This window comes from Homo sapiens, chromosome 3 (assembly GCF_000001405.40).
Source record: "Homo sapiens chromosome 3, GRCh38.p14 Primary Assembly".
Lineage (NCBI taxonomy): Eukaryota > Metazoa > Chordata > Mammalia > Primates > Hominidae > Homo > Homo sapiens.
The window spans coordinates 99993591-100021030 of record NC_000003.12 but is presented as its reverse complement, the minus strand read 5'-3'; the positions used below and the strand labels follow the sequence as shown (position 1 = coordinate 100021030).

The window sequence follows — 27440 nt, the reverse complement described above, 5'->3', positions numbered from 1 at the left end:
CACTTTGCGAGGCCAAGGCGGGCAGATCACAAGGTCAAGAGATCAGGACCATCTGGCCAACATGGTGAAACCCTGTCCCTACTAAAAATACAAAAATTAGCTGGGCATGATGGCGCATGCCTGTAGTCCCAGCTACTTGGGAGACTAAGGCAGGAGAATCACTTGAACCTGGGAGGCAGAGGTTGCAGTGAGCTGAGATCGTGCCACTGTACTCCAAACCTGGCAACAGAGCAAGACTCTGTCTCAAAAAAAAAAAAAAAAAAAAAAAAAGCTAATTATTCATTACTTTCTAAAAAATAGTTCTTAGTAAGTTAATAGTAACATGTATACTCGCTTTGCAATTTTTAAATGAAATCACTAAAAATAAACACTTTTTAAGAACTTTAAGACTATTTTAAAAATGTTATCAATTATTATTCATTTTCAATCTGCTGCTATTCCTTTTAGCTTATGGCAAAAGATATAACCCAATTGCAGTCCTCAAAACAGAATGGCCAAAGCAATGCTAAGTCTCGCAAGCCCTACCTGAGGCCTTCAAAACGATTAGAGCCTAAATGAATCAATTCTGTCTAGGCTGACAGCATGTATTTTCTTTTGGAAGTTCAGTGACTACAGAGGGAATATTTTGGCTTTCTAGTGCAAACATGTACAGATTTTGAACTTGGGGAACTTGCAACTTCTGGTTGTAAAGTTGTCTTCTACTAAGAAACCATGGCACCAAGTCCTAAATGCGAGAATACAGCTTTTAGAAAATCTGCAAATGATTTATTTGCAGAATAGTGAAGTAAATTGCAAAGAATTATGTGAAACAGAAAGAGGGTGTGGGAGCAATAAAATAAATGAAGATACAAGGCTTTTAAAAGGTTACATGGGGAAATGAAGACATTAAATGCCACTTAATTTTAGAAAATAAAATTACAAGGTATATGATATGCTAGCAAAGTTCTGGATTATAGTAAGGCTTTCCAGGGAACAAGAAAGCTTGTATGGCTACTACCCAGGGTAATTACTGAATCAGTGATATTACTCAGAAAATAAAATTGCACATAATACACACAGAGCTTTTAAGCCAGTTTCCTTGTGCCACATTCCCCCCTGCCCTCAATCTCATTCTAGCCACTTCCTTTAAGTGAAAAAAAGAGTCACTGTAGCTTTCTGGAATTCTCTTCCATACATGCCAAGTACATTAAAAAAATGAAAATAAGTCATGAAGTTGGATGACAATATGATGAAAAATTATCTTACTCCTTAATTTTGCTGTAATAGTTTGAAAGATGATAGTTCTGTAGAATGTGAATCGCAGTCTTACACAAACATACATCAGCATACATTCATACTGTTTAAAAAGAGAAGAGTTTTACATAGAAAAGGAATGGAAAGACAGTCAACAGCAATAGTCAAGATATCTAGAAATAATTTTAGAGGAAAAAAGTATCTACTACTGTCTTTAAATACATTAAAATAGAACAATTTTACGTATTTACTTTTCTCTTTTAAAAAATTACTTTAAAAATCTTTTTAGAAATTAAATCACTAAAAATAAATTTTTAAAGAACTTTAAGATTATTTTTTAAATGTCATCACTTATTATTAATTTTCAATCACCTGCTATTCCTTTCGGTAAGGGTAAGGTTTGAGAGGTTACTCTCCTGTCAATTCATATTTTTATGTCTTTTACCCCTTGGCTGTTTCACCCAGGCTGGAGTGCAGTGGCATGATCATAGCTTACTGCAGCCTCAGTCTCCTGGGCTGAAGAGATCCTCCTGCCTCAGCCTCCCGAGTAGCTGAAACTAGACATGTGCCACCATACCAGGCTACTTTTTGCTTTGACACTGATTTTCTTTTGGATATATGCCCAGAAATGGAATTGATGGATAATAAGGTAGACCTATTTTTATTTTCTGAGGAACCTCCATACTGCTGTATCAATTTACATTCCCTTGAACAATGTATAAGGGTTCTCTCTTCCTCACACTTTGCCAACACTTATCTTTGATCTTTTTGATAACAGTCATTCTAACAGCTGTGAGTGATGTTTCACTGTGGTTTTGATTTATATTTCCTTGATGATTAGTGAAGTTCAACACCTTTTTATATACCTCTTGGCTATTTATCTTCTTCTGAGAGATGTCTATTCAGGGCCTTTGACAATTTTTTAATGAGCTTATTTGTTTTTTGTTATTGAGTTGTAGGACAGTCTTATACATTAACCCCTTACCTGATACATGGTTTGCAAATACACTCTTCCATTTCATAGGCTGCCTTTTCACTCTGTTGATTTTTTTTTTTTTTTTTGCTATGCGGAAACTTTTAAGTTTGATGTAATTTCATTCATCTATTCTTGCTTTAGTTGCCTGTGCTTTGATATCATATCCAAAAAATCCCTACCCAGACTCATGTCAAGAAGCATTTTTTTTTGTTTTCTACTAGCAATTTTATGATTTCAGCCTTAAGTTTTAGTCTTTAATTCATTTCGAGTTGATTTTCGTAGATGGTGTGAGATAAAGGTCAAATTTCATTCTTCTGCATGTGGCTATCCATTTCCATTTTTGACAACACAAATGAGCCTCATCTGACTTTGAAGGGCCCTCTCAACTCCAGTGCACCTACAAAATATGCTGAAGTTTTGTGGCCACAACACTGCAGTTTAATTTCTCACACTTTAATCCTGCTTGCTTCACCTTTCTTTCTTTTTTTCTGTTTGGAGATGGAGTTTTGCTCTTGTCGCCTAGGCTGGAGTGCAATGGCACAATCTCAGCTCACTGTAACCTCTGCCTCCTGGGTTCAAGCAATTCTCCTGTCTCAGCCTCCTGAGTAGCTGGGATTACAGGGACATGCCACCACGCCCGGCTAATTTTTGTATTTTTAATAGAGACGAGATTTCACCATGTTGGCCAGATGGTCTCGATCTCTTGACCTGGTGATCTGCCCGCCTCGGCCTCCCAAAGTGCTGAGATTACAGGCGTGAGCCCCTGGACCTAGCCTTCACCTTTTATACATATTGGTCACTGTGCACAACTTAAAAATCCTCCTGAATACCCTTCTCAGAGTTTCAAAGTCTTTGCCTGGGAAGCTCCAGGCAATTATGGAGGCTGAGAAGTTCCACAATCTGCAATTTGCAAGCTACAGATCCAGGAAAACTGGCGATGTAGTTATGGGCCTGAGAAATAGAAAGCTGATGGTAGAGATTCCAGTCTGGATCTGAAGACCTGAAAACCAGGAGCACTGAAGGTCGGAGAAGACCAGTGTTTCTTTTTTTTGTATTATTTTTAGAGACAGTGTCTCACTTTGTTGCCTCGGCTGGTTTTGAACTCCTGGGCTCAAGGGATCCTCCCCGCTGGGCCTCCCAAAGTGCTGGGACTACAGGTGCATGCCACCACATCTGGCTCACAACTTTACATGTCAGATAATCCAAGGACTCTCAAATTTCATTAACTGACTCTTCAACAAAGATCTCAGGATACATGTTGCTGACAGCACAAAGTACATATACAATAATTTCACTCTTTGGTTACTATGGTGCTTACTCTCATTTGGTAGGTGCCAGGTATATCTGAGTATATAAATAGGACAGATGGTTAAAGAGGATAAAGTGGTGCTGAAGAAATGTGATGAGCTAACAAGTTACTAATAATGGGAGAGGTAACTGTGGTAGAGGAGTGATTAGCATGGTCATCAGGAGGTGCTACAAATCTCATCTAACTTCACTGCTCCAATCTACACTGGAGCCCCAAAAACCTTTGCTGATGTAACATGTTAGTGCTTTCCGCTCTGTATAATGGACCAACTGGATGGGACTTTTCTCCAGCACTCGATTCATTTTCAGCTTAATTGATAATCAGATACAGACATATACTTGATCAGATATTTTATAAATTCTGATTTTTGATGACAAACATTTTCAGGAAATATCATTTTGACAAGGAAAAATATCAAAATGAGGTGCTATAGAAGTCTTTATGAAGAATTATACACACATGTGAGAAACTGGTGAATTTGAAAAACTAACAAAAACCCATTTAAAGATCTCCATTACTGTTCAACAAAATTAAAGCAAATCTTATGTAAATATAAAATGATTCATAAGGAAGCTGTGAACTATAATTAGATGGAAATATTCTGATTGATATTTTGGACACAACTAATTCTCACTTTGCCATTAGATAACATAGACTAAGATGTCATGAAATCTGCATCTGTTCCTAGAAGCACTATTAAGAAAAGAGATAAAGGAAATGTCTGCTTTATAAGTTTATAGCAACTTTGCACATATCTAAAATGTTACAATTCAGATTCAAGAAATAAGTGAAAGGATAAAAAGGATTCAAGAGCAGCCAGTTTATGAATTGCATGGACTTTACATGTGAAAGAGCTTCCTAGTGTACTCCTATTTTATATGCATATTCATATGGCAAAGTATTTTAGTTTCAAGGTCACAGAAGATTAGGAGCATTCACATCAGGGAGGAAGTTTCAGCAAGGCACCCTCACAGAAGTCTGCCAGTCTTCACAGCCAAGAAATCAGAAAAGTTATAAACAGCTGACCCAGCTGGGTGTAGTAGCTCACACCTGTAATCCCAGCACTTTCCGAGGTGGGTGGATCACCTGAGGTCAGGAATTTGAGACCAGCCTGACCAACATGGAGATACCCTGCCTCTACTAAAGATACAAAATTAGCTGTGTGTGGTGCGCATGCCTGTAATCCCACCTACTCGGGAGGCTGAGGCAGGAGAATCACTTGAACCCAGGAGGCGGAGGTTGCAGTGAGCCGAGATCGCACCATTGCACTCCAGCCTGGGCAACAAGAGTGAAACTGCGTCTCAAAAACAAACAAACAAACAAAAGCTGACCCAATAGCCCCAATGCTCAGCACTCAGAAACTGTCTAGGAGAGTGATAAAGAGACCTCTAAATCCACAAAACGGCCTGCAAGGATCATCACACTTGCTGAAATGAAGTGTTGTGAATAATAATCTTGGGTCATCTAAAAAAGGTTAAATTATGGTCAGCACATGTTCTTTTAAGGTAAAGCAATGAAAATATTTTAGAAAATAAAAAAATTAAAAAGGCAATCTGTCTTTTTGTGAATTTGATTAGCATGGATCAGGTTTTTAAAAAAACAATTTTTGAGCAACAATTTTTGGGTTCTCCACATATATACATCGCCTCATTATTCCCTACAATGATCATATGTGATAGAGATTATTTTACATTCAGTAGTCCCTCCTCTCATTTATCAGATATTCAGTGAGTGCCTTCTGTGTACCAGGCTGTGTGACAAGTCCCTGACTTCAAGGAACTTACAGCTTGATGAAAGCAAAAACGATGAAGACACTGAAGCACAGAAAATTTAAGAGCAAGTTTCTCTTCTGTAATTTCAGTCACAGCTGTAGCTAACTTTTACTCAATAATCTTAGCATTCGGTTTCAAGGACCATCAGAATTCTAGAAGCAATGAACTTGAAACCAAGAATGTGTAAAAAATATTGTCCCACAAATAAATGGAAAGATATCCTGTGTTCATGAATTAGAAAAATGAATACTGTTAAAATTTCCATAGCACCCACAGCAATTTGTAGATTCAATGCAATACCTATCAAAATTCTAATGAGATTTTTCACAGAAATAGAAAAAGCAATCCTAAAATTCGTATGAAACCACCTCAAATACTCCAATCTCGAGCAAAAAGAACAAAGCTTGAAGCATCATACTACCTGATTTAAAAATACACTATAAAGCTATAGTAATCAAAACAGCATGGTACTGTCATGAAAACAAACATATAATCCAAGGGAACATAACAGAGAGCCCAGAAATTAATCCACATCTTTAGGGTCAAATGATCTACAACGAAGGTACCAAAAATGCAAAATAGGAAAAGGACAGCATCTTTAACAAATGGTGCAGGGAAAACTGGATATCTACATGAGGAAGAATGAAATTAGACCCTTATCTCGTACAATACACAAAATTCAACTCAAGATAGATTAAAGCCTTAAATGTAAAACCTGAAATTATAAAACTACTAGATGAAAAAACATGGGGAAAAAGCTTCTTGATATTGGTAGGGGAAATAATTTTTGGATATGATCCCCAAAACACAAGCAACAGGGGCAAAAAAAAAAAAAAAAAAAAAAAGAAAGAAAGAAAAAAAAAAAAGAAAAGAAAAAGACAAATGGTGTTGCATCAGATAAAAAGTTTTGACACAGCAAAAAAAAAAAAAAAATCAATAGAATGAAGATGCAACCTATGGAATGAGAGAAAACATTTGTGAACCAATCATCTGATAAAGGGTTAATATCCAATATCCAAAACATATAGGGAACTCAAAGAACTCAATAGCAAGAAAATAAACAACCCAATTAAAAATGAACCTGAAAAGACATTTCTCAAAAGAAGACATCCAAATGGCCAACAGGTATATGAAAAAATGTTTAACATCACTAGACATCAGGGAAACAAAATTTAAAACCACAATAAGATATCACCTCACATCTGTTAGAATGGTTATTATCAAACAGACAAAAGAAAAGTGTTGGTGAGGATGTGGAGAAAGGGAACTCTTATACACTGTTGGTGGGAATGTAAATTATAATAGCTATTACAGAAAATAAGTCTGCAGGTTTCTAAAAAAATAAAAAATAGAACTACCATATAATGCAACAATCCCATTTTTGGGTATATAGCCAAAAGAAATGAAATAAGTATCTTGAAAAGATATCTACATTCTCATATTCATTGCAGCATTATTCATAACAGTCAAGATGTGGAATCAACTTAGGTGTCCATTGACAGATGAATGGATAAAGAAAATGTGATATATATATAATATATATATACATATACAATGTAATACTACTATTCAGGGTTTACAAAGAAAGAAATTCTGTCATTTTCAACAATGTGGATGAACCTGGAGGACATTATGTTAAATGAAATAAGCCAGGGACAGAGAGACAAACATTGTATGATCTCACTTACATGCGGAATCTTAAAAAATCAAATTCATAGCAGCAGAGAGTAGAGTGGCAGTTGCCAGGAGCAAGGGGCAGTGGGAAGGGGGCGGCACAGAGGAACATGGGGAGATGTTGTTCAAAGGGTACACAGTTTCAGTTAGACAGGAATTCTGTTGATCTATTGTGAAGCACGGTGACTATAGTTAACAACATATTGTACACTTGAAAATTGCTAAAATAGCAGATTTTAAATTTTCTCACCACAAAATATGTGAGATGATGAATATGTTGATTAGCTGGATTTAATCATTTCACAAGGTATACATACATCAAACATTGCATTGTACACAGTCAATGTACACAATTTTTATTTGCCAACTAAACCTTAATAAAACTAGGAAAAAATATCATTTCACTGTTTAGAAGAAGCTTATTTTATAAAGAAAACAAAATGAATATGGTCATTCATTTTCTGTTATAAATATAATTTCAAACATTCTCTACATACTTTTTATCTAATAAAACTCACTGGCCAGCCGAGTGTGGTGGCTCATGCCTGTAATCCCAGCACTTTGGGAGGCCGAGGTGGATGGACCACCTGAGGTCAGGAGTTTGAGACCAGTCTGGCCAACATGGGGAAACCCGGTCTCTACTAAAAATATAAAAATTAGCTGGGCATGGTGGTATGTGACTGTAATCCCAGCTACTCAGGAGGCTGAGGCAGGAGAATCGCTTGAACCTGGGAAGTGGAGGATTCAGTGAGCTGAGATCGCACCACTGCACTCCAGCCTGGGTGACAGAGCAAGACTCCATCTCAAACAACAACAACAACAACAACAACAACAACAACAACAACAACAACACCTCACTGGCCTTGAAATGGGCTGCTGTCAGAATATGCAGTTGGGCATGGTAGCTCATGCCAACAATCCCAGCACTTTGGGAGGCCAAGGTGGGTGGACTGCTTGAGCCCAGGAGTTCAAGATCAGCCCGGACAACAAGACAAAACCCTGTCTCTCCAAACAAAACAAACAAACAAAAAAATTGGCTGGGTGTGGTGAAGATCAGCCCGGACAACATGACAAAACCCTGTCTCTCCAAATAAATAAATAAATACATACATACATAAAATAAAAAATTGGTTGGGTGTGGTGGCACAGTCTGTAATCCTAGCTACTTAGGAGGCTGAGATGGGAGGACTGCTTGAGCCTGGGAGGTGGAAGCTGCAGTGAGCTGGGGATCATGCTACTGCACTCCAGCCTTGGCAACAGAGAGAAAACCTGTCCCTCCCCCAACCCAAAAAAAAAAAAAAAAAAGAATATGCTTCCTGGATCCAGAAATCAATCCATCACTAGTGATTTAATCTGGAAAACTTGATGTCAACTGATTTTATAATTGGGGCAACCATGTATGTCTGCCTTTTATGATGGTAGTTTAGCTGAACTGAGTCTATGAAATAATTAGGCCCACGGTGGGGGAATCTGAAATCCTCCTGAAGCACTAGAACCTCTCCCAGCCTTCCCAATGTTAGAGAAAATTCTTATTCCCATAAGTTTCTACCCTTTACTAAGTGATATGTAGTCCTTAAGGCTCTTGATTTCCTCCAAAGTTAGAAAATACTACACTAGAAAGCTGGAGTTTCCTCTGGATAATCAATTTTTTGAAAAATACAAATAATATTTTGTTTCGTTTTGGGCTTTTAATGATATGATGAGAAAACTAGAGATTCTCAGGAAAGAAAATGGGGAAACAGCACTGAAATTATTTTTATACATCTCATATTTGGCAGGCCTTCTAATTGGTTGACAAAGTAATAATTCTACCAATCTTCTTTCTAGTATAAAGATATAAAACAAATAATTTTAGATATTTTATCCTTTTGGAATATAAAAGACAGATATAGACATTATAAATCCCACTCAAGTTTAGAATTAACAAATATTTCATTTTGCATTTTTTAGGTTGCTTTTTGAATACTTTTGAGTTCAATGATGATATTCATCCCTTGCTTACCACATACCACCCCCCTCACAAAGGTTTTCAAAAGAAATCCAATTCAGGTAAATGATAATTGATATGGGAATTATCATAATCGAAATATCAGAAAGCAGCCACACAATATCTTATATTGCCAAACAAGATAACTGTGACTAAAAGTGGAAGTTCTCTATTTTTAAAAGTTTTTAATATTATAATACTAAAACTTGAATTTTAACAGTCTGATATGAGTATCTATTTATTAAACCATTCAGCCACTCATCCTTCTATTCATTCATTCAACCAAAACACAGTGTTTTACAGAGCAGAGGTCATCCCTACCTGATGGGCTCTTGGACCTGTGAAGTGGAGCCTATGGGTAGAGATGGGACAGTCTTCTATTCAAGAAGGAACTTTGGTTTAATACATGAACTTTTTTGGCAGAACATCAATGACATCCTATCCACTGCTTCATCCAATATTCAAGAATTGTGAGTCTTCTCTCAATCAGCAACAATAAGTGCTAATATTCCATGATCTCAACAGGCTTTATAGATATAAATTGTCAGGTATTTAGTTTATAAAATTAAAACTGGAGGGAAGGAAGAGAAAATGGAGTCCAACTCCATTTTGGAGGAAGATGGCATCTAACTAGTCCTCTGGGTGTTTTAAATTATATCTTTTTATTAAGTTAGTCTCTAAAAGAAAACATACAATGCAAGTACTACTCAAGAAACACGCTGGGCATGGCATGATGCTGGGAGGAGGTTTTTAGGTTTTGGTTGCTTGATACTCAATAGATCAACACGTGTCGAGTTCTACAGAAAGAGAAACATTTCCCTGAGGAAAAAAGAATTCCTAAGTTCATAACCTACCTCACTTTTACAGAAAGTGTATCAAATATAGACATCCTTCTTACTAATGAAAGATCCAGAACCATTAGGGAAAAGTAATTTGCTGTCATGAAACGACTCCTTTGTCTCTGTCGTGCTTAATATCAGAAGCTTCAATCTTCTATTATCACAGACCACAAGCCCTGGTACCATCCTTGCACCACAGAATCCTGGGTTTGTACTTCCTAAATTGTGTATTTTTCTATTTCTTCTGTTAAATAACTGTTTTAAAAGGGGCAATTATTTGTAGACTTAAACTATGATGCAAAAGAAAAACTCTCAGCTGGGCGCGGTGGCTCACATCTGTAATCCCAGCACTTTGGGAGGCTGAAGCAGGCGGATCATGAGGTCAGGAGTTCGAGACCAGCCTGACCAACATGCTGAAACCCCCACCTCTACTAAAAATACAAAAAAAAAAAAAAAAAAAAATCCGGGCGTGGAGGCGCGCACCTGTAATCCCAGCTACTCAGGAGGCTGAGGCAGGAGAACTGCTTGAACCCGGGAGGTAGAAGTTGCAGTGGGCAGAGATCGAGCCACTGCACTCCAGCCTGGGTGACAGAGGGACACTCCATCTCCAAAAACAAAAAAAAAAAAAGAAAGAAAAACTCTCAGATGATATAGAATGCTTTAGCCAACATGTATAGAAACATGTTGAGGAATGCCAGATTGTCACCAAATACAACTGGAAGTCACTGCTCTTAGTTGGATTCTCTGAAGTAAGCATGGTCCTTTCTAAATACCATTAAATATAATAACTTCTCTACTTCTTGGAGCTCTAAAAGGCAAAATTGAGGACAATAGCTATAAAGAGGCAGGTTTCTTTCAATAAGTGTTTTTTGACATGTAAATATACTCAGTTACATGCCTTTTTTCTTGTTTCCAAACCTCCCCGCTCCCCAACTCATTTTTTTTTCCTTCCATGCAGAACACAGTATACTACTAAGGACAATGTTGTGGGGGGAAAAACATACTGAGAAATCACAAAAATGACAGTTTACATCATTTGATAAAAATAGCAATACTTTACCAAATGGAAAATTCCATCAAATGAAATGTGGCTCCAATCAGATGACTTACCTAAAAATAAGAGAGACAGAAAGAAAAAAGTGAGAACTTGGTATGGTACTCAACCCTCAATATACTAGTCTGTAAAACATATGGTAGATATCTTAACAACTGATGGACAATCCAAAACAAACAGAAACTATACCAGATCAGGAAACACCAATTCCTTTAGAAACAGTAACTAATGTTAGAAAGGAAATGGTAAACATGGAGCAAAAGCAATGGTGAAAGAAAGTGGTATTTACTTTCAAACCACTTGGCTCTCATACATATTTTAAGGGGTCAGTTTTGAAAACGTGGACACGTATACATATAAGGGCTACAGCTAAACCATACATTGCACTCTCTTTCTCAAGACCTCTGGTTACTAAGAGAGAGACAATCAAAGCTGCAGACTTTCAAATATCTTTGCCTCCTATGACTCAAGAAAAAGGTGCCAGTGTATCATGTGCTACTGTAATTTCCTCTGTTGACTTTCTTTCCCCTTAACACTTAGATGTTTTGGCTGTTTGCTTTTTTATTTTCCAAAGTGAATACTGATGTTCATGAAAGGTGCCAGATTAACAACCTGGGGAAATTAAGAGCTTGGTCTATCAAGTGAAAAGGCTCAGTGTAGTGGAGGTGACGAAAGTTTCCCCTATACCGTGCTTGCCTATGTGCATTAGCTCTGACCCACAGTCACCCCAGCCCTCTAGTCTTCATGGTCCATTAATGTCTTTGACTGCTCAGGTTGCTAACAGGAGCAGACAGTCTTGTTTCTGCTTTTAATGCTATCATTATTATTACCACTACTGCGAACTCTAACTCCCTCAGTGAAATTATGGGGAAATTTATATTGGCTGCCATTTTGTTTCAGGACAACAGGAAAATAAATTGAACTGAAGATAGATCTTATATTCTTGATAATACCGTAGGTTAAAATCCAAGAATTTCTTCAAACAGGAGGCAAAGCTTTGAGTGATCAAATTGAAACAGGCCTCAGTAAGTTCAGTCACTTGCACTCAATTTGAATTCTCATTCGGGAATATTCTAATATTTAAAGGCCAAAGAAGCTTTATTTTTCCTTTTAAGTCTACTGCAAACCAGTCATTTTTATTATTTCTTAGCAACTATGGTAAAGGTTTGGGTGGATGTTGAGGCTAAAACTATCGTTGCATATGAAATCTGAAAATCAATGTCAAACAGAAAAAAGTTTCTTTCCTATATTTATAGGTGTTCCAAGTTTCTGAACTATGTAGGCACTTTGTAATTATTAATTAATCCCACCCATGCCCAGGAATAAAATCACTTTGCTGCATCTAGTCAGATGACCAACAACTGTTTATTGATGACATTATGCTATTTCTGCACGCAAAATACAAGGGCCAGAGCAAGACAATACTCCTCCTAGTCTAGAGTTTATAACAGTAAGAGAAGCAAGGCTAGCAAACATATGCAAACATTAATGGTACAATGAAGTACAATGCTGAATGTTGCTGTGCAATAGACTTATAATTACTTAATAATTATTTGGAAAGATCATAGTATTAACCCCACCATTGTTCCCTGTCTTTGCTATTGTCCTTCTTTTTGTCAAAGACTATATTCTTTGCAGCTAGAGTAGATTTCCATCTTGACATCACCAGCACTTCCTCTAAATTCTAATCTCTAGAAGTCCTGGAGAATGAGAATTGCAGGATACCAATGACTACAGCAAACACATGGTAACACTTATATGAAGGGTACCCTGGCTGCAACTCATATGAAAATCTTGGAAAATTTTAGTTTGGGGAACTTTGGCTGCTTTTTTTCTTTGCCTTGCATAGCCTTTATCAAGCAAGTCCTTATGGTATTAAAACATTTGGCACTGGTTCAAGTCTATGCTATTGCTGGCAGGGAATCTAATTGGGAAGCAGGGGTGGAGTAGTTACCTTTATCAGGAATGACCTTAAAGTTATGGAAAGGCTCCTTCCTTCCCACTGCTTAGTAGCCTTACTGAAAGCTTTAAACCCAGATGTGAGAAAAGAGAATGTCTCCAACAGCAGCAGCAATTTATTGTAATTATGTTAGTAAAAACATTAGGAAGGTGGAAAATGTTATGTCAACTTGGAGGAGGGAAACACTTTGTGTACAGGTCCCAGGCAAGGTTGTGCTGGGGAAAACAACCATAACCTATAATTCCCAGGGAGCCCTCAGTTTCCAAATTTGCAAGAAAATTAGGAGTTAACTATTTTAAAAACTAGTAACTATATGCAATGCATTACCCAGTGGGTGAGAGACTATAAGAATCTGTTCACTAACAGACACCAATAGACACCTGTCTGTACTCCCTCAGTGGCTGGCAGTGGCCAATTCCCTGTTACCACTAGATAACTAATATATTTTTTCTATCAGTACTATATCACAATTGGTAACAGTGGCAGTCAAAGCAACAAGGCCCATTTTGCCTACACGATACTGTAGCTTCCATCAGTGACACACTTTTTTGGTTTAAGGCAATTTAAAGGTTGACCTTGAAATGCAATTAGAGCAAAATCTGTACACTTTCTGGGCCAATTCTGGGCCTCTCTGTGCCTCAGTCACATAACTGAGAGTTGGTTTTGTCCCTGACTCTCTTCTTCATTACATAACGGATCTCTTACTGTTTCTGCTGACTAGACTTTTGCATCTTTCATGATTTGATTTCTCTCATTTCATCTTCTCATTTTTTTCTGTGGTGGGAGATATACAAGCAAGGTTTCCAAAATTTGATATTTCACACAAAATGCATTAGCGAGCCATGGCAAAAATCTGTTTTGTGGGCAGACACATCATCAAAGCTCTCCTCTACATGGACTAGTTTTCTAGTCAAATAAAAATTTCAGGAAATAAGATATTTTCATCTCAAAAAATAAAAGCTAAAAAGAGTATGTCTGAGAGACTCAAACCATTTACTTTCATGGTCATGAAGAGAAAATAGAAAAAGCAATAAAAGCCTTAAGAGCAGAAAATGACAGGTGATTTCTCCTTTTCTTCCCATTTCAAACATTTACCAATAGGCTAATGAATGCCAAGGATGCAAGAAAAAGCGAGTCAGAAAACTGTAGGCCACAAGATGGTGTAAACCTCATGTGGAAAATACCAGCTAAGGCACTAAGAAAGCCAGTAAGTAATGAAAGATTTATAAAGATGAATATGCTCAAGTTTTGGACAAAGAATATACAGAACAAAACCAAACAAAAACACTTTTTAAAACAAGTTATTTTTTATCCTTCTCAATGCATATTAGAGATAGTTCAATTTTAAAAGCTTGCAGTGGTTTAGTAATCAAATAGCTTAAGACAATGCACAGTTCTACCCATCAAGAATGCTTGTTTACTTTGGCTGACATGCCGCAATTATTAATTTACTTATCTGATTCAAAACAGAGTAAGCTCTTACTTTTAATTTCCTAACTTAACTAGCAAACTCTGGGAGTCACTATGCTAAGGGCTGAGTGCAACCCAAGCTGGAATTTTTTTTTTTTTTTGGAAAGAAAAGATGTAAGATAAATGAGCTGAATTCTCATCATTCCAAAGCTGAGTTTTAACAGTACTAAACAAAAAGGGTAAAACTACAACTTCTGGGATTTGAATGATAGCCTTCATGACTATATAGAAAAAATACTTTTTTTAAAAGGAGACTTTGGGGCAGAAAATTATAGATGATAACCTCATGAAAAGCACTGAAAGATAGGAACCAAATTTATCCATTTGTGGGTAATAGTTATGATAATTATGGGGAAGGAGGAAAAAAGGCTGTTGGCAAAGGTATTCAAAGGAAGTACCTAACTATTCCACTCATGAAGAAATCTGGAGATTATTTAGGGAAATGACTTGTACAAAGGAAACAATTCAAAGACAACAAAAACAAAATTTAAATAAGAGCCAAAGATCAGTTGAGGGCTGGGGAAAACAGTTTGGGTTAGTTTCTGAGGTTATCTTAATGGGGTCAGCCTGTCTTACTGCCCCAGCCCCCAGAAACCACCAGTATACCTACCTGCATCCCACAGAGTTTTATAACTGCAACAAATTTTACCCAGAGGTCTACGGCTAAGGGCTTTCTGGTCTAATGCTTTAGGGCTTTCCAGAAACCTCTTTTCTATAAAACTTCTATCCCACTTCCTATCAAACTACCTTTCCCTTCTCTACCATTCTCCATTCTGGTTCTGGCATGTGTGGATTGAAAAAGCAATAGCGGAGGTGGGAATGAATGGGGACACAGCTGGTCTGTGGCAAAGAGATGGTGGGTAGCAAGCAGCTGCATTTTGGAGGATTAGGATCTTGGAAGCCAAAGAAAGCTTCTTCCAAGTTCTCTCCTTTCAGTTCTTTCCTCTCTTGGGCAATAATAGAAATTCCACAAAACACACAAACTTTCTGAATTCACAACACTCTTCCTCATAACCAAGTGTGTTTATTATGACTGCTAACATTTTCTGTGTGCCTTGTATTTAGATTTCTCTAAGAGTTTCAAAGAGGCTTATAAATTTCCATTAAAACAAATATTTCTGGCTATATTTTATAAATACAATTTAACTTTAGAATCATTGGAATTCAATTTGTTAAAAGGTTATTCTTGTAAAATTTGGTTTATTACACTACACTCACATTTCCTAAACCAGGGTTCTTAAAATCTAGACTTCATAAGAATTCTCAGGGATGCTATAAATATAGATTCATATTTAGTAGGTCTTGGGTGGAACCCTGGAATCTACATTTTTAATAAGCACCCAAGGAGATTCCTATACAGTGGGGGTAGAGGGACCCCACTCTGAGATCCCATCCTAATCTGAACCCCCTAACCTCCCAGCTTCACCTTTTTCAAGACAGCCTGTTTGAGTGACAGTAGTCAAGCAGTCACACTGAATATTGAGCCAAAAACACAAAGTGAGCAATCTGAGAAAAAGAAAATTATCACCAACAACCTTTCATTTTTAACAATACAAGGTGCTATACAAATACAGGAAAGAAAGGGAGGTTTCCTGGTTGTAACTCCACTTCCTTGAGTAAGATAAGGTTTGGTATTATGAATGAATTAGCTGGCTTTCCTATTCATAAGAGTTGAACCTTTACTGGCTTTCTGGTTACGTCCTGCTGCATTCTGGCACCCCTTTTCCCAGCATGATGACAGCCTTGTAGAGCCAGCCTTGATTTCTCAAATTGCAAGCAAATTAGAACCTAACTACTTAGAAAAGTAATGAAAGTGAAATCCAATATCTAATGGGTATGAGGCTATGAGAATCTGCTTGCCAACAGACACCAATAATTCTCCTGCCTCTAATCTCTCAGTGGCCAGATTTTCCCCACCTGCCCCATAGGGGGAAACTCAAACATTAAGAATCTCAGACTAGCTCAGAAGCCAGAATTCATTTTGATGACATTACGTGCTTCCACTTTTAAACCCACCAATCCTACCTTTTAGGTATTATCACTACCTAGTCCCAGTTCTCATTCCTCAACCCCCACCTATGGTGCTCTCTCTTCATGAAGCCGTCCTCTTTTGGTTTCATGACATCCTGTTGGCTACTCTGTCCTGATGATGATGATGTTTCTTAATTCCTTGTATCTTGGTTTTGACCTTATAATTGACTACAACTATTCTTTCAAACGTCACCTGCAACTAAATTTAATGGGATTTTCTTAATCCTTTTTCTCCACCACTCTGATGGGTGACCTCATTGGATTTTTCCTTCTGTTGGTTCTCCTCCCTTGGTTTCAGTGGTAACACAGTTCTCTTATGAACACAAAGAATATTTGATCTTCTCAGTATTAATCCTTCCAACCTGTCACAATACACAGAGAATAGAAGATATGTTCAGCTACCATTATACACAATGTTCTTGAGCCCAAGACAGTTTCAGTTCACTCTAAAGAAAAATCCCCTCCTTGATTATATGCAACCCACTATCATCCTACGGAAGCTGCATTTTACTTGGAGTTTAGGTTTCTTGGAGAATATGTAAGGGGGAAAAAACCCTCAATTTATGTCAAAATTACCTTGCAAATCCCCTAGGAAGGCATCATGCAGGAAGCCAATACTGTCTCTCAGTAGGCCGAATCAAGGTGGATTTTGCCTCCAGTTTTGGTAACCATCTGAGTAAGGCAAGATGCTTACCCTGAGAGAGGCAGGTGGGAACAGACATGTACAGAAAAATCAATATACACCGTCCATTTCAGGTTCATTCCCAGGCATAGACTCATTGAATACAACCTGAGAAGACTTGTTTGCACAATGTAAATTTTTATGCCTTCTCTCTTTATATTCATTTGCTGAGCAGGTGTAGTTGAACTCATGCAAAGTTAGTGTTTGTATGATACAACTTCAACATAGAACTTAATGGTTATTGCTCAATAAATATACATATGTCTATGCTCTTGACTTTTAGCATCTCAAGGGTAAACAAACAACAGAGGCAGACACTAGATCAAGTATGAAGATCATAGATCAAGTATGAAGATGACCTTAAGAAAACTGGAGAGTTTTCTTGCAAAAACTTCTCGAGTACACAAATCAAATATACTTGTGATGCACTGGAAAAAACACTGTACTTAGTGTCAAGGGACTGAGATTCTAATTCCAATTCTGACACACATTAGCTAAGTCACCTGGGCCATCTACAAAATGGATACTTCACAGGGTTGTTTTGAGATTCAAAAGAAAAAATGCATGTGAACGCATCTATCATAGTCACTTGCACATGGTAGGCACTTGCTACAGGTTTATTCTAGGTGCATTGGTTAAACTGAAGCTAAGAAGACAAAACAACCACGTAAGGGAAGAAAACCCTGACAGTGCTGGGCATATGGCAGGTGCTATGTAAGTATTTACTGCACTACACTGAGACAGAAATCAAGCTGGTTTGACTGAGTCAATGTGTAACTTGCCAGTTCTAACATTCTTTTATTTTCTCCACATGGTCATTGGTATGAAGTCCACTTATGGCTTCATAAACATGGGCTTACAACAAAAGTGCTTCTAATCAGATTTGGCAGGAAAAGGAGAGAAACACAGGGTGAGGTAAGTGTGAGGCTACAGTGCTGAATAATAGGGATGGCAGTACCTCAGTATGTGAGTCACACAGACATCAAGCAGTACACAGCTAGAGATAATTCGCAGGTAAATGCTGCACAATCCATTACGTCATCCCTCCTCTGCCCTTTCTTCATCAATCTTGTCGCCTGGACTCTGATGCAACCCAGCAAGAATGTCTGATTTGCAGACAGCAGAGAGAGCTTCAGAACATACACATACTCATCAGAGAAGGCAATATGAACCCAAACTGAAGTTTCTGGTACTTCCTTTTGTTTAAATCATGCTTTAGAGGGGAAGTCATAGGGGTGGGATGTATAACTAGAGATCAAGCCACCTGGTCTAAGGCCTAAGGGACTAGGCTTCATCATTTTGGACAAGTCACTCCAGGTCCACAGGCCCCGTTTCCACATGTACAATTAGATGAGCTTCAAGGTCTTTTTTAGCTATGTAATTTCATCATTAAAAATTGAGGTCAATCACACCCATATGATGGACAGATATGCATTTGGTTTTAAAAGCTAGGCATAAAATCAGCTTTACTTTTTATCAGCTATCTAGGTCACTCAAATTTTAGGCTACTTCCATCCTACTCGGAATTACTAGAAGAGTGTGTACCTGTGTGCAAATCTTGTAAAAGCAAGTAAGCAGTGGCAGGCAGAAACTGGTGGTTCTAGAAAATGTGAATATTCACTCCTGAGATTATAGAGATACTCCAGTCTAAGCCACAGAAGCTTGAAAGCAAATGTGTATCAGGGGATATAATGTATTAAGACCTATCTTCTGTATGGAGAATGTTTTGAACAACAAGAAGTTTTGAAGGTACAAAAAATTCATAATAATTCATAACTTAAAAGAGATGCTCTAACCTAACTCTAAACCAAAATCATGATCAGTCTGTGCGTGATTTACCCAGCAGCTTTTAAGTACAACACCATCAGCTCCAAATAAAGAAGAATTCATTAGAGACACAGGTCTGTACAGGAGGTGGTCAGTCCCAGTGAGCTTTGGGCATGTTTTCCACTTGCAGTGGCACCGCGCTTTTCCAGAGCTGCAAACAGTCACACACGCATCACCAGCAGATTTGTGATGGAATCTCCAGAGAGGGGCATTTCCAACAAAGCTTCAGAATTGGGGGGGATATGGACAAGCCCACTGGAGATGAAAACCAGATGTCTCATTGTGCTTCCCTCATAGGCGACACCGTGTTGGGTCCCCGACCTTCTATGCTGAGCAGCTTAGGGGAGGGTAAGTTGCCCCACCACACCTGGTGCAGCATTCAACAAGACACCCATCCCTTTAATTATTCAGCCAAATGATTTATGAGGCTTGGCAGCAAAGACTTGGCAGACTGGTTTAAATTCAAAGGATCCAACCTACAGGTATTTTGAAAACCTTGGCCACATCTGCAATGTGTACTGTTTCTTTTGGGAGAGGAAAGAAGAGAAAGGGAGAAGATGTGACCTGCCTGACAGGAAGACAAGACCCAACTAGATGGAACATGTCTCCCACTCCCTCCCCACCCTGTCATTTAACAATGTTCTGGCTGACTTTCTTCCTACGAAAAGCAATCAGATAGAGTTTTAAAGATGTAAAATCCCAGAACCACCAATACATTCTCATAAACTGGGCTCAGTTGGGTTGTTCTGATTGATTACTGATGGTATAATCTTTTTGATCAACTAGGGAAGTGGTCAGCCAACTTTTTCCCTAAAAAGCCAGATAGTAATATTTCAGATTTTGTGGGCTATGTGATCTCTGTCGCAGCTACTCACCTCTGACACTGCGTCACAGAAACAGCGATAGATAATATGTAAATGAAGGAGTATAGCCATGTTCCAATAAAACTTTATTTACAAAAACAGATTAAGGGTCTGATTTGATCTGCTGGTCATAGTATACTATTAAATAGGTGAACTGAGACAAAGTGAGAGGGTATGGCTACTACTACTAAATTTATCACCACTTAACCCTATTTAAATCTAAGCCAATTTTGGGAGGACAGCTAACCTCTAAAATAACTGCATTAATAAGTAGGCACAATAATATTTTTGGGAAGAGTGTGTGTGTGTGTGAAATATAGAACAATTCAAAGGGAATTGAACAGTTTTAAAAAATCTATCACCCAGTAACTAGGTTATCTTATAGAAAACATAGTTGGCATTAAATCAAGGAGCTACTCTTACAAGTGTCTTGCCGTAGGTCAACTACAGGCTTTGACTACACATTTATATACAACATAGTTACTGAGTAATATATTTGTTAAAGTGTTCCATTATTTGTAAACCAATCTGTATGTTATTTGTGTACACATTTCAATACACTTCAAACAATAAACACCAAACTGTAAACAGTGGCTACTCCTGGGGAATAGGGGTTAGAATTTTTATTAATTTTTTTAAGAGACAGAGTCTTGCGCTATCGCCCAGGTTGGAGTGCAATAGCACAATCATAGCTCACTCTGGCCTTGAACTCCTGGGCCCAAGCAATCCTCCTGCCTTGGCCTCCCAAAGTGCTGGAATTACAGCCATAAGCTACTGCGCCTGGTCAGAATTTTCACTTTTAGGAGTATTGTCTGAATTTTCACTTCCCATCAAATTTTCACCCGTTTTTACCCTTTCTTCCAGCTCCTTCTCCCCTTCCTTGATTTGGCCTAGCAGCAGTCACACATATTACTAGATCTACAGCTGACGACATTCACACAACAGCAGCTGCCAATAAATATATGATATTCCTCATTTAGTAGGAGGGATGGATAACAAACAAGAAAACAAATAAATACACAAGTTATTTTCAGGTTGTAGTAAATACTTTGAGGGACAAGGTGATAGAGGAGGCCCCTTTGGATGACTTTTTTCCTACAAAAAGCAAGGTCACCGGACAATATTACTGAGGAGGTGATAATTAGATAGAGACCTGAAGGATCAGAAGAAGGCAGGAAGAAATTTTTGTGGAACAAATTCCAGGCTAATTGTAAAGTGTTCTGGTCTTGACTCTAGGCCAGTGTTTCCAGTCCTGATTATATATTAGAATCAACTTGGGCGCTTTCAAAAAATAGAGATGCCTGGGCCCCATTACAGGCAAATAAGACTCTGGAGGTGGAGTCTGGTATTTCTTTTCTTTTTGTTTTTAAGCCAGGGCTGAGAATCACTGTTCTAGAGTCTAGAGATACCTTTATGTCAACACAAACAGAGGCCCATAGTCCAATATGGAGGGAATTGGACTATGTGTGAAACTGAACTATTAAATTTTAGCATGGCATGTTTTGTTTTGTTTTGTTTTTTTAAATCTAGCAGATTAACTGGATGCACTGTTTGGTGATGTGATGAAGCCTTGAGGAATCTCCCCTTGCCATTGAGCAAGAGACCATGAGAAACAACCCAGGGCTTTTAATTGGGACCTTTTGCCTGAACTTCTGGCAAATCATAAAGCAATGAACCATCAAGTGACAGACTTCTTTGATGTGTTTAGCAAAGCGCTGACTGAAAAGCCTATATCCCGAGATCCTCTCTAACAGATTCAAGACTCACTGAACCACAAGGAGAAGTTCCCAAGGCAAGGATTTAGCTTATACAGTGTAAGGATATATATGTTCCCATATTCATGCACCTCCCTTATCCAACTCTAAATAAAGTCTGTCGATAATCTACTAAACAATTTTAGGCAGTTGTTGCAATTTCCTCCCAACCACTCACCCACCCATCCATCCATCCAAAATACAACTACTATTGCACACCAACTCTATACTTATGACTCTGATGCAGGGAATATACACGCCTTCCATTCCAGTGGGAGAGAAACACAGTAATGATCACAAAAGAATGTGATATGTGCTATGAGACAGTGCCCCTCTTTTTCCTCCTTGCTACAGTGAGAGCTTATCACACTTTCTAAAATTTGCTTAAATATGCTTCCTCACCTAGAGATCATTAAAAAATAAAGGCTGCTTTACTCAGTATCTTCAACACTAAATACAATTCATGGCATAAAACTGGCATTCAACAACTGTAAATTGAATCAGTAACTGAGATATATATGACGGATATAGGTACATAGTACAAGTGCCTATGGGAGGCACGGAAGGCTTCACAGAGTAGCAACGTCAAAGCTAAGTATTAAAGAATAAACCAAAAATCTTGTGGTGGAGGTTTTCTCTGGGTGTGTGCTTGAATTTTATGCCAAAGATAGTGGAGAACTACTGAAAGTTTCTAGTTGGGGGAAAAGATTAGGTTAGAGTTTAAGAACCATGGCCGGGCGCGGTGGCTCACGCCTGTAATCCCATTACTTTGGGAGGCTAAGGCGGGCGGATCACGAGGTCAGGAGATCGAGACCATCCTGGCTAATACGGTGAAACCCGGTCTCTACTAAAAATACAAAAACAAAAAATTGGCTGGGGCATGGTGGCATGTGCTTGTAGTCCCAGCTACTGGGGAGGCTGAGGCGGGAGAATCGCGTGAACCCGGGAGGCGGAGCTTGCAGTGAGCCGAGATCGCACCACTGCACTCCAGCATGGGTGCTGGAAAGACTAAGTTTTGAGTTTTGTCTTTCTTTAATTAGCTCCAAAATACCTGCATTTTTCTCCTGCAAAAGTGGTACAACCCACAAGTCCTACTTCCCTACTTCCCTTTACCAAATTGTGCTTGGTAAAAATCTAATCTCAAAAATGTACATTCTTTGAGTACGTATATATAGTTTACCCCACTCAAAGAATGTGTTGGTATACAAACATTTAAACACATGCAAGATGGGTTGCTACACCAAACATTTAAACTCACTCTACTTAAAGATGTTTCTAACCCTGTAGTTAGAAAACATTCCAAGAAAGACATTTTCAGATCTAAATTAGGGATATCTAGGATAGATTTATCCTTTACAAATAGCTACTAATTTATAGAACTAAGTATTAGGTTGGTGCAAAAGTAATTGCAGTTTTTGCCATTAATAACTTTTCAGATGGTAACAGATCTTGCTGAGATTAGAAACTCTTTCAGTAGTACACTATGATTCTGAATTTCCGCACCAGTTAACTGGTTTTAACTCACAAGTTAAACTAAACACTAGTTAACTTGTGTTTCCACAAGTTTTCCACACCAGTTAACTGGTTTTAGCTCTATGCTCTAGCAGGAACCTGAAATGACTCTTCTGAATAATTTTATTCAACTTGATCTTGATTCTTGATGTAGAAATCCTAAGCCTACATTTGTAAAGCAGATTATCTTCAAAATGCATTATACTTTAGTTTACATTTTATTAAGGTTTGTGTAATAAGAGCATGACTTATGTGTTAAATTGCCAGATATTTGGTATTTGAGGGAAATCAAAACTCTATTACCTCATGCTATTCTTATTTTATCTTTTCATAAATATTCTTTATTTTCATAGCTCTGTGTACAAAGTTTTAAACTACTAATAAATCTGCTCTATTATTCACTTCAGAGGAAGTGACAGTAAGGATCACTGAAATATTCTTTTTACTTTTTCTGGAAGCACTTTTGTTGGTTTCTCTGCTATCCTTCCCACCCTGCCCCTACCATCTATTGTGAATATTACTGGTGAGTCAGGCTCTGGCAAAATTGAAAAAGCTTCCTACGTATTCTAATGCGTAGCCAAGATTGAGAACCACTGGGGTATCAGAAAGAACAATGGACTTGGAAGACTTAGCCTCAAAATCTGGATTTGTCACTTAATGGTGACATGTGACTCATTTTCCCAATAATACACTTGTGAGGATTAAAAAGATAGCATACAGCCATTTCCTCTAGGTTTTCTAGTTTGTGAGCACATAGTTGTTCCTAATAGTCTCTGGTGATCTTTTATATTTCTTGGTATCAGTTGTAAAAAATGCCTCCTTTTATCATTTCTGATTTTTATTTGGACCTTCTTCTTGGTTAGTCTAGCAAGCAGTTTATCCATTTTGTTTATCCTTTCAAAGAACCAACTTTTCATTTTGTCCATCCTTTGTATGGTTTTTCTTGTTTCTACTCCATTTAGTTCTGCTCTGATCTTTGTTATTTCTTTTCTTCTGCTAACTTTGGGTTTAGTTTGTGATGTTAGGTTGTTAATTTCAGATATTTTATTGATGTACGCATTTAATGCTATAAACTTTCCATTTAGCACTGCTTGTGCTGTATACCATAGGTTAAGGCATGTTGTGTTTTCATTTTCATTTGTTTCGAAAAAATTTTAAATTTCCATTATAATTTCTTCATTGACCCAGTGATATGGTTTGGCTGTGTCCCCACCCAAATCTCATCTTGAATTGTACTCCCATAATTCCCATGTGTTGTGGGAGGGACTCGGTGGGAGATAATTTGAATCATGGGGCCGGTTTTCCCCATACTGTTCTCATGGTAGTGAGTAAGTCTCACGAGATCTGATGGTTTTATCAGGAGTTTCCGCTTTTGCATCTTCCTCATTTTCTCTTGCCACCCCCATGTAAGAAGCGCCTTTTGCCTCCCACTATGATTCTGAGGACTCCCCAGACATGTGGAACTGTAAGTCCAATTAAACCTCTTTTTCTTCCCAGTCTTGGGTATGTCTTTATCAGCAGCATGAAAACTGACTAATACAGTCAATTGGTACTGGTGGAGTGGGGCATTGCTGAAAAGATACCCGAAAATGTGGAAGTGGCTTTGGAACTGGGTAAAAGGCAGAGGTTGGAACAGTTTGGAGGGCTCAGAAGAAGACAGGAAAATGTGGGAAAGTTGGAACTTCCTAGAGACTTGCTGAATGGCTTTGACCAAGGCCTGGCAGTGATATGGACAATAAGGTCCAGGCTGAGGTGGTCTCAGATGGAAATGAGGAACTTGTTGGGAACTGGAGCAAAGGTGACTCTTGTTATGTTTTAGCAAAGAGATTGGCAGCATTTTGCCCCTGCCCTAGAGATTTGTGAAACTTTGAACTTGAGAGAGATGATTTAGGGTATCTGGTGGAAGAAATTTCTAAGCAGCAAAGCATTCAAGAGGTGACCTGGGTGCTGTTATAGGCATTCAGTTTTGTAAGGGAAGCAGAGCATAAAATTTTGGAAAATTTGCAGCCTAACAATGTGATAGAAAAGAAAAACCCATTTTCTGAGGCGGAATTCAAGCCAGCTGCAGAAATTTACATAAGTAACAAGGAGCCGAATGTTAATCACCAAGACAATGGGGAAAATGTCTCCAGGGCATGTCAGAGGTCTTCACACAAGCCCCTCCAGTCATCAGCCCAGAGGCCTACGAGAAAATGGTTTCCTGGGCTGGGCCCAGGATCCCCATGCTGTGTGCAGCCCAGGGACTTGGTGCCCTGTGTCCCAGCTGCTCTGGCCATTGCTGAAAGGGGCCAACGCAGACCTTGAGCTGTGGCTTCAGAGGGTACAAGACCCAAGCCTTGGCAGCTTCCACGTGGTGTTGAACCTGTGAGTGCACAGAAGTCAAGGATTGGGGTTTGGGAACCTCTGCCTAGATGTCAGAAGATGTATGGAAACGCCTGGATGCCCAGGCAGAAGTTTGCTGCAGGGGAAGGGCGCTCATAGAGAACCTCTGCTAGGGCAGTGTGGAAGGCAAATGTGCTCTGAAGCCCTCAGAGTCCCTACTTGGGCACTGCCTAGTGGAGCTGTGAGAAGAGGGCCACCATCCTCCAGACCCCAGAATGGAAGATCCACCAACAGCTTGCACCATGCTCCTGGAAAAGCAGCAGATACTCAAGGCCAGCCAATGAAAGCAGCTGGGAGGGAGGCTGTACCCTGCAAAGCCACAGGGGCTGAGCTGCCTAAGACCATGGGAACCCACCTCTTACATCAGTGTGACCTGGATGTGAGACCTGGGGATAAAGGAGATCATTTTGGAGCTTTAAAATTTGACTGCCCCACTGAATTTCAGACTTGCATGGGCCCCGTAGCCCCTTTGTTTTGGCCAATTTCTTCCATTTGGAACAGCTGTATTTACCCAATACCTGTACCCACATTGTATCTAGGAAGTAACTAGCTTGCTTTTGATTTTACTGGCTCATAGGTGGAAGGGACTTGCCTTGTCTCAGATGAGACTTTGGACTGCGCGTTTTGGGTTAATGCTGAAATGAGTTAAGACTTTGGGTGCTGTTGGGAAGGCATGATTGGTTTTGAAATGTGAGGACATGAGATTTGGAGGGGCCAGGGGTGGAATGATAGGGTTTGGCTGTGTCCCCACCCAAATCTCAACTTGAATTGTACTCCCATAATTCCCATGTGTTGTGGGAGGGACCCGGTGGGAGATAATTTGAATCATGAAGGCAGTTTCTCCCATACTGTTCTCGTGGTAGTGAATAAGTCTCATGAGATCTGATGGTTTTATCAGGAGTTTCTGCTTTTGCATCTTCCTCATTTTCTCTTGCCACCCCCATGTAAGAAGTGCCTTTTGCCTCCCACCATGATTCTGAGGCCTCCCCAGCCACGTGGGAGTGCACTCTTTTTCTTTCCAGTCTCAGGTATGTCTTTATCAGCAGTGTGAAAATGGACTAATACACCCAGTGATTGTTCAGGAACATGCTGTTTAATTTCCATGTATTTGTATAGGTTCCAAAGTTCCTCTTGTATTGATTTCTAGCCTTTTTCCATTGTGTTCTGAGAAGATATTTGATATGATTTTGATTTTTAAAAATTTGCTAAGACTTGTTTTGTGGCCTAACATGTGATCGACCTCAGAGAATTTTCTATTTGCTGATGAAAATATATGTTCTGTAGTTACTGGTAAGAATGTTGTTGTAAATGTCTGTTAAGTCCATTTGGTTTAAAGTCCAATTTAAGTCCAATATTTCTTTGTTACTTTTCTGACTTGATGATCTGTCTAGTGCTGTGAGTGGGACAATAAAGTCCCCTACTATTATTGTATTGCCATCTATCTCTTTCTTTAGGTCTAGTAATCTTTGTTTTCTGATCTGAATGCTGGAAACACAAAACCTACTGAGACTGAGCCAGGAAGAAATAGTACTCCTGAACAGACCAATAATGAGTAGCAAGATTGAATCAGTAATAAAAAATCTCCCAGAAACAACAACAACAAAAAGCACAAGATCAAATGGATTCACAGCTGAATTCTACCAAATACACAAAGAACAAAATCCAATACTCCTGAAACTGTCCAAAAAATCAAGATGGAAGGAATTCTCCCTAACTTATTCTATGAGGCCAGTATCACCCTGATGCCAAAATCAGACAAGGACACACACTGAAAACTATAAACCAATATCCCTGATTAACATAGACACAAAAATCATCAACAAAATACTAGTAAATAAAATCAACCAGTACATCAGAAAGATAATATATCATGATCAAGTACGATTTATCCCAGGGATGCAAGGATGGTTCAACACATGTAAATCAATAAACATGATATGTCACATCAACAGAATTAAGGACAAAAACTGTATTATCTCAATATACACAGAAAAAGCATTTGATAAAATTCAGCATCCTTTTATGATAAAAATCCTCAACAAACTAGGCATAGAAGGAACACACATTAACATAATAAAGACCATATATGACAAACCCACACCCAATATCATACTT

The 27440-nt window shown here is 38.5% G+C and overlaps 2 protein-coding genes and 1 long non-coding RNA gene across 6 annotated transcripts in view; 1 reads left to right on the top strand and 2 right to left on the bottom strand.

The window, feature by feature from the left end:
• Positions 1-27440, bottom strand: part of CMSS1 (cms1 ribosomal small subunit homolog) — a 363871-nt gene that overhangs the window by 160702 nt on the left and 175729 nt on the right. The gene's annotated exons all lie outside the window — the stretch shown is intronic.
• The window catches only part of LOC105374010 (uncharacterized), a 223532-nt gene that overhangs the window by 20363 nt on the left and 175729 nt on the right, over positions 1-27440 (bottom strand). Inside the window, exon 2 of the long non-coding RNA NR_189163.1 lies at positions 9273-9328. This is a non-coding gene — a long non-coding RNA (uncharacterized LOC105374010). The remainder of the gene's footprint in view (positions 1-9272; positions 9329-27440) is intronic.
• Positions 1-27440, top strand: part of FILIP1L (filamin A interacting protein 1 like) — a 285691-nt gene that overhangs the window by 93471 nt on the left and 164780 nt on the right. The gene's annotated exons all lie outside the window — the stretch shown is intronic.